The sequence below is a fragment of the Homo sapiens genome, chromosome 12 (genome assembly GCF_000001405.40).
Source record: "Homo sapiens chromosome 12, GRCh38.p14 Primary Assembly".
Lineage (NCBI taxonomy): Eukaryota > Metazoa > Chordata > Mammalia > Primates > Hominidae > Homo > Homo sapiens.
The window spans coordinates 119,922,024-119,935,094 of record NC_000012.12 but is presented as its reverse complement, the minus strand read 5'-3'; positions in this window follow the sequence as shown (position 1 = coordinate 119,935,094).

The window sequence follows — 13,071 nt, the reverse complement described above, 5'->3', positions numbered from 1 at the left end:
GAAACTGGGAAGAAAAAGAGGTTTAATGGGACTTACAGTTCCCCATGGCTGGGGAGGCCTCAGAATCATGGCGGGAGGCAAAAGGTACTTCTTACGTGGCAGTGACAAGTGAAAAATGAGGAAGAAGCAAAAGCAGAAGCCCCTGATAAACTCATCGGATCTTGTGAGACTTAGTCACTATCACGAGAATAGCAGGGGAAAGACCAGCCCCCACGATTCAATTACCTCCTCCTGGGTCTCTCCCACAACACGTGGAAATTCTGGGAGATATAATTCAAGTTGAGATTTGGTTGGGGACACAGCCAAACCATATCACGGAGGTTGCAGTGAGCTGAGATCGCACCACTGCACTCCAGCCTGGGTGGCAGAGTGAGACTCCGTCTCAAAAAAACAAAAACAAAAACAAAAACAAAAACACACAAAAAAACCCGTTATTCTGAGAAGAGTCCTTCAGCTTCACAGGGTTGCCAAAGGGAATTCACACATAGAAAATGCGAAAAAAACCTGCGAAGCTCAAGAGTTCTTTGAGCTACGCTTTGATTCGTCTCTCTTTGGGTGGACTCAAGGCCACATTATGACTTTTGTGGGCCTGAAGCACTTTTGTTGCCTGTATGAACCCATCTTCTGTAAAAGATACTAAAAATTATATTTTGGCCAGACGAGGTGACTCACGCCTGTAATCCCAGCACTTTGAGAGGCCAAGGCAGGAGGATCACTTGACCCCAGGAGTTCAAGACCAGCCTGGGCAGCATAGTGAGACCCTGTCCCTATTGTTTTAAATAAAAATAAAAATAAATAAGCCAGGTGGGGTGGCTCATCCCTATAATCCCAGCACTTTGGGAGGCTGAGGCGGGCAGATCACTTGAGACCAGGAGTTTGAGACCAGCCTAGCCAACATAGTGAAACCCCGTCTCTACTAAAAATACAAAAATTAGCCAGGTATGGTGGCGGGTGCCTGTAATCCCAGCTACTCAGGAGGCTGAGGCAGGAGAATCCCTTGAACCCAGAAGGCAGAGGCTTCAGTGAGCCAAGATTGCACCACTGCACTCTAGCCTGGGCAACAGAGCAAGACTCAATATCAAAAAAATTTTTTTAATAATATTTTATGACTGCGTTGTAATCCAGACTGGATTCATTCTTCTTCTGTTTATTTGTTTTTTTTCTGCTTTCAAAAGCAAAACATTTTTGTGCCAGGCACGGTGGCTCATGCCTGTAATCCCAGCACTCAGGGTGGGTAGGTCACTTCAGCCTAGGAATTTGAGACTAGCCTGGGCAACACAATGAGATCCTGTCTCTACAAAAAATACAAAAATTAGCCAGGCATTGTGGGGTGCGCCTGTAATCCCAGCTCCTTGGGAGGCTGAGGTGGGAGGATTTCTTGAGCCTGGGAGGTTGAGGCTGCAGTGAGCCGTGATCTTGCCACTGCTCTCCAGCCTGAGCAAGAGAGTGAGACCTTGCCTCAAAAAAAAAAAAAAAAAAAATACAGATTTCTGGGTCCCACTGCAGAGATGGGCTTTCCTCATTTACTATCAGATGGAGAGATCTGCAATCCAGTCTGGAGTGCTGTGGTGCAATCGTGGCTTAATGTAACCTTGAACTCCTGGGCTCAAGCAATCCTCCTGCCTCAGCCTCCTGAGTAGCTGGAATCACAGGCAGGCACCACCACTCCTGGCTAATTTTTTATTTTTAGTAGAGATGAGGTCTCACTATGTTGCCCAGGCTGGTCTCAAACTTCTGGGCTCAAGTGATTCTCCCACCGTGGCCTCCCAAAGTGCTGGAGTTACAGATGTGAGCCACCAGGCCCAGCCTGGAATCTGCCTTTTAAGCCAGCATCAGGTAATTCTTTGTTAGGTCATTCTTGGACCATACGTTGAGAAACAGTGTAATACTGGCTAAATATAATGTGACATTCAATTTTCTTGCAGACCTGGCTGCAATCCACCTTTTAGACCTTTTTCTTGTCCCACACTGTAATGACATCATACTACCCACTACCTCGTCCCCACTGTTTACCCCCCTCTATCTTTGCTCATTCTCCATGTCTAAAATGCCTTTATTTTCCCTGCCTAGTCAGAGCCGCTTATCTTTTGGGGGTTTACTTTAAGGCTACTTACTTTTCAAATCCTTCTTTGACCCCTCCAGGTAGAATTAATCATTCTCTTCTCTATATTTTCATACTGCTGTGTGCAAACATCCAGCATGAAAAATTTGTTACAGAGAGCAGTGGGTGGGATATGTTTTCTTTCTTTCTTTTTTTTTTTTGAGATGAAATCTCACTCTGTCACCCAGGCTGGAGTGCAGTGGCACAATCATGACTCACTGAAGCCTCCAACTCCTGGGTTCAAGAGATCCTCCTGCCTCAGCCTCCTGAGTAGCTGGGACTACAGGTGTGTGCCACCACTCCCAGCAAATTAAAAACGATATTTTTTGTAGAGATAGGGTCTCACTATGTTGCCCAGGCTGGTCTTCAAATCCTGGGATCAAGCTATCCTCCCACCTCAGCCTCCCTAAGTACTAGAATTGCAGGCATGAGCCACCACACCTGGCCAAGGGGTATTTATTTATTTATTTATTTGGAGATGGAGTCTCGCTCTGTCACCCAGGCTGGAATGCAGTGATCTTGGGTCACTGCAACCTTAGCCTCCCAAATAGCTGGAACTATAGGCGCAAGCCACCACACCCAGCTAATTTTTGTATTTTTAGTAGAGACAGGGTTTTTCCTTGTTGGCCAGGCTGGTCTCGAGCTCCCGGCCTCAAGTGACCCGCCTGCTTCACCCTCCCAAAGCGCTGGGATTACAGGCATGAGCCACCGCGCCCAGCCTCAAGGGCTATTTAAAATATTTAACAACAGTGTGGCTCATTGACCAGACCCATGAGAACTTAGAAGATTGAGATACTCTTGTGCCTGGTTTGTGGGGAGAGTCCTTCCACGGGGGGACTGAGTAGTCCTGGCATGGAAGTGGATAGGGAGGAATAAGGTCTTGAAAGTAGCAGCTATTGGCCGGGTGCAGTGGCTCATGCCTGTAATCCCAGCACTTTGGGAGGCCGAGGCGGCCAGATCAGAGGTCGGGAGTTTGAATCCAGCCTGACCAACATGGAGAAACCCCGTCTCTACTAAAAATACAAAATTAGCTGGGCGTGGTGGCGCATGTCTGTAATCTCAGCTACTCAGGAGGCTGAGGCAGGAGAATCACTTGAACCCGGGAGGAGGAGGTTGTGGTGAGCTGAGATCGCGCCATGGCACTCCAGCCTGGACAACAAGAGCAAAACTCTGTCACAAAAAAAAAAAAAAAAAAAAAAAGTAGCAGCTATTTATTAGTTGGTATGGAAGTATTCCTGCATTTTAACAATCATCAGTACAAACATACTGGGTGAATGTAGTCATTCATGTAGAAGCGTGTGTGTGTCCATTTGTGTGTGTGTCCTGCTAGGTTGAGAGCACGGGTAAGTGCAATCGTCCCATCCTCTTCATAGTCAATAGCTTCACCTAGCTCCCTCAATGTGTTTTGGCATGTCTGCAAAACTAATGGATTCAAATGTCAACTCCTTTTCCTCTCTGTTGCAACTATGACTCGGTACGTTAAAAAAACAAAAAACAAAACCTTAAAGTAACAGAAGAAGAGGGCGTGAGAATTATTTGGACTGGTCGTTTAAAATGTGTATTCCAGGGCTCCTACCCCAAACCCACCAAATTCGACTCTCTGGGTGGGAACCAGAGCCTCGCATTAAAATTCCTCCAAAGGATTTGAATGCACATTAAAGTTTTCACATTAGAACTACCTAGAGAGTTTTTAAAAATACAGATTACTAGACCCCATTCAAACCACTTAAAGTAGAATCCTGTGAGTGCGGCTTAGGCATTTACAATTTTTTTTTTTGAGACATGGTCTCAGTCTGTCACCCAGGTTGGAGTGCAGTGGCAATGATCTTGGCTCGCTGCAACCTCTCCCTTCCAGCCTCAAGTGATCCTCCCACCTCAGCCTCCCTAGTAGCTGGGACCACAGGTGCACACCTGTGTTGTATTTTTGGTAGAGATGGGGTTTCGCCATGTTGCCCAGGCTGGTCTCAAACTCCTGAGCTCAGGTGATACTCCCCCCTCGGCCTCCCAAAGTGCTGGGATCATAGGTGGGAGCCACCGCACCCAGCTGGCATGTATGTATTTTTTTGTTTGTTTGTCTGTTTGAGACGGAGATTTGCTCTCATTGCCCAGGCTGGAGTGCAATGGCATGATCTTGGCTCACTGCAACCTCTGCCTCCCAGGTTCAAGCGATTCTCATGCCTCAACCTCTTAAGTAGCTAGGATCACAGGTGTGCGCCACCACGTCTGGCCAATTTTTGTGTTTTTAGTAGAGATGGGGTTTCACCATGTTGGTCAGGCTAGTCTCGAACTCCTGAGCTTAGGCGATACACCCGCCTCGACCTCCCAAAGTGCTGGGATCATAGGCAGGAGCCACCACACCCAGCCGGCATGTACATTTTTAAAAACTTCCCTAGGTGATTCTAGTTTGCAATCACGTTTGAGAACTACTGGTTTAGGAAATTCTAAAACTGGTTAAACAGTACCTGAACAATGGAGTAGAATGTTTACTGGAGTTAATAGGCAGTTTTCTCTCTGGAACCTGATCTCATATGTTGCTTTTTTATTGGGAAGGAGGAGAACTCATTCTTATTTTTACTGCTATCAGTAGGAAACTGCATAGCCAGTCAAGTCACGCATTTCTATTCTGTGCTAGGCACGATGATTATTAAGGTCTTGAGATTGTCTTGAGTGTTGGCAGAGCTGGAGTCTGCGACTTAACATTCAGTGACTTCATGTTAATCAGGAGGGCAGATGGCTCTGAGCCTTTCTGCAGGGCCTGATGTGCATGGACTGCTTTGCACAGCCCCCTTGTGAAATAATATACCTCTTCTCCTGCCCAGTTCATGAAAGAAAAACAAGGCACAGAAATTTAAGGGAGCTGCTCAAGGCTGCAAGTGCCATAGTGAAGGATAGTGTCTGACGTTAGGTTATACAACACGAAATGGCGTGCTGATAAAACTCTAGGCAGCTGGGCATTCAGGATAGTATTTTGGGTGACACAGTCTCTTGCTTTCACCTGTTATCTTTGCTCCCTTTCAACGTTTTTATTATACAAGTTGAACTCATGGACAAATTCATTACTTGTTTGTTGCCCACTTTGTTAACATAGACCCAATTTAAGGAGAATAGGTTAAGTTCTCACCACCAGAAGTAGAATTTGGAGGCCGGATGCGGTGGCTCATGCCTATAATCCCAGCACTTTGGGAGGCCAAGGCGGGAGGATCACTTGAGGTCAGGAGTTCGAAACCAGCCTGACCAACATGGTGAAATCCCTTCTCTACTAAAAATACAAAAATTAACTGGTGTGGTGGCAGGCGCCTGTAATCCCAGCTACTCGGGAGGCTAAGGCAGGAGAATCGCTTGAACCCAGGAGGCGGAGCTTGCAGTGAGCCGAGAACATGCCATTGCACAGCAGCCTGGGTGACAGAGTGAGACTCCATCTCCAAAAATTAAAAATAAAATAAAATAAAAACATAATCAAGCTCACTAACAATTAGAGAGATGAAGGCTAGGGGCAGTGGCTCAAAAAAAAAATTAGGGAGATACCATAGAATATAACTTTTCACCTTTTAGATTAATGAATATTTAAAAAAATTTATACTACCCAGTGTTGACAAAACAGTAGAGAAATAGGCACTGTCATACTCTCGGTGAAAGTGAAAGCTGGCACCCGCTTTGGGAGGGCAATTTGGCAGTATCTAACAAAATTAAAAATATATTATTAAATTTGCATTTTATCAACTTATTAATTTTGTACCTAAAAATCTGTAGATTTGCAAAGTATTCATAATTAAGTCAAAGGAGATATGCAATTTAAATTTTGGTAGATAGTGCCAGTTTTTGTTTTTTTTTTTTTGAGATGGAGTCTCACTCTGTTACCGAGGCTGGAGTGCAGTGGTGCGATCTCGGCTCACTGCAACCTCCATCTCCCAGGTTCAAGCAATTCTCCTGCCTCAGCCTCCTGAGTAGCTGGCACTACAGGTGTGTAGTGCCACCACCAGGCCTGGCTAATTTTTGTATTTTTAGTAGAGATGGAGTTTCACCATGTTGGCCAGGCTGGTCTTGAACTCCTGACCTCAACTGATCTGCCTGCCTCGGTCTCCCAAAGTGCTGGGATTACAGGTGCGAGCCACCATGCCCAGCCAATATTGCCCAATTGATCATCTCCATATATATATTACCTACAAATATATATGAAGAAACACACACACACACACACAGCACGTTACTATATGTGGGCACTGTTGTAAGCATTTTACAAGTTACATATATATATGTTTAATATATGTGTGTATATATAGAGATAGAGTGAGAGTGCAAACATTTCATCACTGTATGTAATATCAAAGAATTAAGAAATATGAATTTTTCATCAAGTTTCCAGGCATGGTGGTTCATATCCTGTAATTCCAGCAGTTTGGAAGGCTGAGGCAGGAGGATCACTTGAGCTCAGTTCAGGTCCAGATTGGCAACAAAGCAAGAGCCTGTCTCTATTTATAAAAAACAATAATAATAATAATAAAATATATTGCATACTTACATAACAGAACACCATACAGCCATAGATATTTACGATGTGTTGTAACATTAAATAATAAGTTGAACAATAGTATTGTGTGATTCCCTTTGTGTATATAAAAGCCTAGAATATTCTGGAAAGATGTACAATGCAAGAAACCTTTAGTGATAGAAGTGTTACGAAGTTTCTTTTTCCTTCCTGCTCTTCTGTTATGTAATATTTTTTACCATGATATTTTTATATAATTTAAAAGTATTTAACTAGATTATAATATATAAACATTTTATAGAACAATATTAAACAAATAATAATATCCATGATATGCCACTAAGTGAAAAATTCTACTCTGAAACATTTTATATGATACAAATTCATTTTTAAGGCATTCATAGAAATAGGCTGGAAAGTACACGCATCAAAATATTTCACTGTTCGCAAGATTGGTGTTTCCTTTTGTGCTTGTCTCTATTTTCCAAATTTTCTGCAATGAGCTCGTGATTCTTCTGAAATTAGAAATTCTAAAAACTTACAATAAATGTTATTTTCTTCCTGAAAGCACATCTACACATGACTATGAGGACATTGTGCATAGTTCCAACGTAGTAATGTGCAAAAATAATTTGGCCATTTGTACAATATTTTGCTAGGCATCTGCAGCGAGGTTGCAAAGCGTATCAGCTGAAACAGTGACCCTGTAAGTCCTTTGTTAAAAATGGCACTTCCTCGCCACATGGCTGCCAGATGCACTTCATTTCTGGATCTATTGATTTCATGTGAAAATGTGGCTGCTGCAGAAATTGTTATCTTTAGTTTATAAAGAAGGTATTTTCCTCCCACAGAGCACAGTGTCAATACCTCAAAAGAGAAGCAGAGCCCCGAGCCCTTCATTCAATGTACATTTATAGGGTGCAGATGTATGCTTCGGGCATTGTTCTAGGGGATTAGGTTCCAGGGATAAAGGAGACATATAAGGTCCCTTCTCTTAGGAAGATGGCATTCTACAGGCAGTGAACAAGACTTCCTGGTTCATAGACAGCCATCTTCTCACTGCATCCTCAGACGGTGGAAGGGGCAAGGGAGCTCTGTGGGGTTTGCTCCCCTCCCCTCCCCTCCCCTCCGCTCCCCTCCGCTCCCCTCTCTTCTCTTCTTTTCTTTTCTTTCTTTTTTTTTTTTTTTTGACAAAGTCTCACTCTTGTCCCCAGGTGTCCCCAGGCTGGAGCGCAATGGTGCGATCTTGGCTCACTGCAACCTCCACCTCCCAGATTCAAGTGATTCTTCTGCCTCAGCCTCCCAAGTAGCTGGGATTACAGGCTCGTGCCACCCCTCCCCACCCCCACCCCTGGCTAATTTTTGTATTTTTAGTAGAGACGGGGTTTCACCAAGTTGGCCAGGCTGGTCTGGAACTCCTGACCTCAAGTGATCCTCCTGCCTGGGCCTCCCAAAGTGCTGGGATTACAGGCATGAGCCACTGCACCCGGCCAGGGAGTCTCTTTTCTAAGGGCACTAATCCTAGGCTGGGCACAGTGGCTCACGCCTGTAATCCCAGCACTTTGGTAGGCTGAGATGGGTGGATCACTTGAGGTCAGGAGTTGGAGACCAGCGTGGTCAACATGGTGAAACCCCGTCCTTACTAAAAATACAAAAAAAAAAAAAAAAAAAAAAAAAATTAGCCGGGCGTGGTGGTGGGCGCCTGTAGTTCCAGCTACTTGGAAGGCTGAGGAGGGAGAATCGCTTGAACTAGGTAGGCGGGGGCTGCAGGGAGCCAAGACTGTGCCACTGCACTCCAGCCTGGGGCGACAGAGGTAGACTTTGTCTCAAAGAAAGAAAGAAAGAAAGAAAAGCCTCTTCATGAGAGCTCCATCCTCTGACCTAGTCACCTCCAGAGACCCCACCTCCAAATACTATCACATTGGGGATTAGGTTTCAACATATGGATTGAGGGGAAGGGGACCTTCAGCCTATAGCACAGAGAATGCTGAACCCCTTCTCTACAGTTCCTGATTCAGCAGGTTTGGGGTGGAGTCCAATAAATTACATTTCTAGCAAGTTCCTGGGTGCTGCTGCTGCTGCTAGTGCCAGTATAACACTTTGGGAATCACGACCTGGCCTACCCTTACCAATTCGGTATTATTCCAAGGGAATCAAAGCTTAGGCAAAGCTTGTTCCTTCCTTCATGCGCTCAGGGAATATTTATTTATTTATTATTTTTTAGACGGAGTCTTGCCCTGTCGCCCAGGCTGGAGTGCAGTGGTGTGATCTCGGCTCACTGCAACCTCTACCTCCTGGGCTGAATTGATTCTCATGCCTCAGCTTTCCAGGTAGCTGGAACTACAGGCACGTGCTACCACGCCGGCTAATTTTTGTAATTTTAGTAGAGACAGGGTTTTGCCATGTTGGCCAGGCTGGTCTCGAACTCTTGAGCTCAAGTGATCCACCCGCCTTGGCCTCCCAAAGTGCTAGGATTACAGATGTGAGCCACTGTGCCCAGCCAGGGGAATCTTTATTTAAAGCCTGCTTTGTGCAAGGAACTATCCTAGGTGCTCCATAATCAGTGATAAAGTTCTTGCCCCCATTCTTAGAGACTAGTGGTTTGCTCGAGGTAGCACTAGCACTTGAATTTGCGGCTTCTTACTCAAAATCCAGCACTCATTCCATTATGCAACAAGCAGCATTAACAAACACCTCGGTTGCTATTAATTACTCCCTTTGGAATCGCTTGAACTTGGGAGGCGGAGGTTGCAGTGAGCCAAGATTGCACTGCTGCACTCCAGCCTAAGCGAGAGAGCGAGACTCTGTCTCAAAATAAATAAATAAATAAATACTCCCTTTGATATCTTCTAAGTAGATGTCCTTGAAGGTGACCTCAGAGGTGGTGTGCAGGCATTTTCTTTGTAGATAGGTTTGCATTTGTAAGTTTGGAGAAAAAAGCTTCAATGGGAGCAAGGAATGTGAGGGTCCCTCAGCACTGTGAAGAGACAAGAGCAAAAGGGAACTCTCCCTTCTGACAACTGTGGGAGAGAAATGACTAAGAACAGAAGGAATGACTAAAGAGATGCTGAAGACACCATGGTGCCCTACCCAGATCCCCCTTCAAGGATGCAGGATTATTCTCCCAGATGCTGGGAGTGTTGCAGGCTGGCAGCCTCCTCTGGGGACTGCCTTTGCTAAAGTGAGTGGCTTCACTCAAGTTCACACCCCCTTCCTGGGAGGCCCACAACCAGTAATCAACGGGGGACACAAATCTCTCAGGTTCAAGCAATCCCCCTGCGTCAGCCCCCTAAGTAGCTAGGACTACAGGTGTGCGCCACCAAGTCCAGCTAATTTTTGTACTTTTTTTCTTGTAAAGATGTGGGTCTTTCCATGTTGTCCAGGCTGGTGTTGAACTCCTGGACTCAAGTGATCCACCTGCCTCAGCCTCCAAAGTGCTGGGATTACAGGCGTGGGCCACCATGCCCAGCCTTGCAGAGCTTTTTGAGGGGTCATCTAAAGCCTTTGGTGCGGCTGCATCACAGCTCAACTTCCCCGTGTAAGTCCTGCTTCCTTCCTCAACCTTCCCAAGGACTGGGATTCCAGAGTACTCCCTAATAAACATCCTGCATGCTAATCTCCATCTCAGAGTCAGCTTCCCAGGAACCCAACCTGCAACAGGGATTTCAAGGTGTCTATGGTGGGTTGAGTAACCTCAACCTTCTCTTCCTTCCTTTCAAAAACTTCAGTGAAATTAACATTGCTCATTCACATTTTGTGACACAGTATTTGTAGTGGATTAAATAGTGTCCACCTGGAACTCCGAAATATGGCCTTATTTGGAAGTAGGCTCTTGGTAGATGAAACTACTTAAGGATCTCAAGGTGAGATTATGACAGGGTCTCACTCTTTTACCCAGGCTGGAGGGCAGGGGCACAATCATGGCTCAGTATAGCCTCAAACTCCCATGCTCAAGCAATCCTCCTGCCTCAGCCTCCTAAGCAGCTGGGACTACAGTCATGCACCACCATGCCTGGCTATTTTTTTTCCCTTTGTAGAGACAGGGTCTCAATATGTTGCCCAGACTGGTTTTGAACTCCTGGCCTCAAGTGGTCCTCCTGCCTTGGTCTCCCAAAGTGCTGGGATTACAGATATGAGCCACCATGCCCAGCCCAGTATCTTATAAGGAGTGGAGAGACACACACAGATGATGATCATGCGAAGACATAAGGAGAGATTGAAGTGATGCAGACACAAGTTAAGGAACAGCTAGCACCACCAGAAGCTGGAAAAGCCGAGTAACGATCCACTCTTAGAGCCTTCAGAGGAAGCCTCCCCTGCTGACACCTTGATTTGGGACTTTCAGCCTCCAGAACTGTGAGAGAATAAAATTCCATTATTTCAGCTACCCAGCTTGTGCTACTTTGTTATGGCAGCCTTAGGAAATGAATACAGTATTTTATTTGGAAGCGCTTAAAGGGGAAAATGAGGTGACAGCTGACCATCATGCAAATGGAAATGCAATGCCCGTTGCACATCATGTAGCAAGCATTCAAAAAGTGCTTGTTGAACTCAACTGAACTGAATGCTAATAAAGGGAAAAGCAAAGTTTATTGGAAGTTATCTTAGGATAGCTGCTTGATTTATTTTCTTTAGACCCTGGGCCTGTGGGCACCTGCTAATTTGCATACTTACTCATGGTATTTGATTCTGTGCGTGGAACTGTGGAGGGAACACTCTTCATTTTTGGACAATTTTAGTACTGCTTTAGAAGTCAGTCACTAATGAGGTCCCTGCACTGTATCACTATAATCCAAGTCCTGATCATTTAAACTAGATGTAAAATTTAAAAATACTCCTGGCCTTTTTTCCTCTGTTTTGGGCTGCTCCTCTTGGCTTCTGAGGAGCCCCCAGTTCTGTTTTTAGGTGTCTAGGTAGGTAAATAATACATGATTTACAAAGGCGATTTAAGAGCTCAGCAGAGCATCAAATATGAGTGCCCTTGCTAGTTATTTATTTTTTCTTTCTTATAATTAAAATGTTTTAATTTTCTTTTTCTTTCTTTTTTTGAGACAGAGTCTTGCTCTGTCGCCCAGGCTGGAGTGCAGTGGTGCGATTATAGCTCACTGCAGCCTCGAACTCCTGGGTTTAGCTGATCCTCCCACCTCAGTCTCCCAAGTAACTGGAACTACAGGCATGCACCACCATTCCTGGCTGGTATTTTTATTTTTTGTAGAGACGAGGGTCTCACCATATTGCCCAGGCTGGTCTCGAACTCCTGGCCTCAAGTGATCCTCCTGCCTCACCTTCCCAAAGTGCTGGGATTACAGGTGTGAGCCACTGCCTTTGCTAGTTCTTATCTTGTCACTGTAGCTGATAAATCACCACCATAAGCCTCAATTTGTCTTATCTATAAGATGGAGCTCTCATTGCTTTTTTTTAAGTTACCAATAGCAGGAGAATAAAGTGAGTTATCTGATCAACTCCCACAAGCTGAGGTGTTCCTCAGGTCACATTTGGAGGTCCAAAATCACTTTTGAATCCTGCAGGTTGAGCCTCTGGATCAACATTTCGCAGAGGAGGGTTGCATCTATCTTTTTTTTTTTTTTTTTTTTTTTTTGAGATGGAGTCTCGCTCTGTCACCAGGCTGGAGCACAGGGGTGTGATCTCGGCTCACTGCAACCTCTGCCTCCCAGATTCAAGCAGTTCTCCTGCCTCAGCCTCCTGAGTAGCTGGGATTACATGCCTGCCACCACTCCTGGCTAATCTTTGTATTTTTACTAGAGATGAGGTTTCACTAAGTTGGCCAGGATGGACTCGATCTCCTGACCTTGTGATCCGCCTGCCTCGGCCTCCCAAAGTGCTGAGATTATAGGCGTGAGCCACCTCACCCGGCCGAAAGTTGTGTCTATCAATGGCCAGGGGTACAAAAAAAATGAGTTCTGAGCTTTATATGTTATTTTTTCTTTTCTTTCCTTTTTCTTTTTTTTTTTCTTTTTTTTTTGAGACAGGGTCTCAGTCTGTTACCCAGGCTGGAGTGCAGTGGCATGATCACGGTTCACTGCAACCTCTGCCTCCTGGTCTCAAGTGATTCTCATGCCTCAGCCCTCCCAAGTAGCTGGGACTACCATTTTTTTGTATTTTTAATAGAGATGGGGTTTTGATATGTTGGCCAGGCTGGTCTTGAACTCCTGGCCTCACGTGATCCACCCACCTCAGCCTCCCCAGATGATGGGATTACAGGTGTGAGCCACCAAGCTCAGCTCTGGCCTCTCCATTCTAACTTCTATAGTATTCGCGTCATCTTCACAGTCCACCCAGTGGTCTTGTGGCTGCTCCAGATTTTACTTTCTTTTTTTTTTTTTTTTTTTTTTTTGAGATGGAGTTTCACTCTGTCATCCAGGCTGGAGTGCAGTGATGCAATCTTGGCTCACTTCAACCTCTGCCTCCCGGGTTCAAGCGATTCTGGTGTCTCAGCCTCCCAAGTAGCTGGGACTACAGGCGC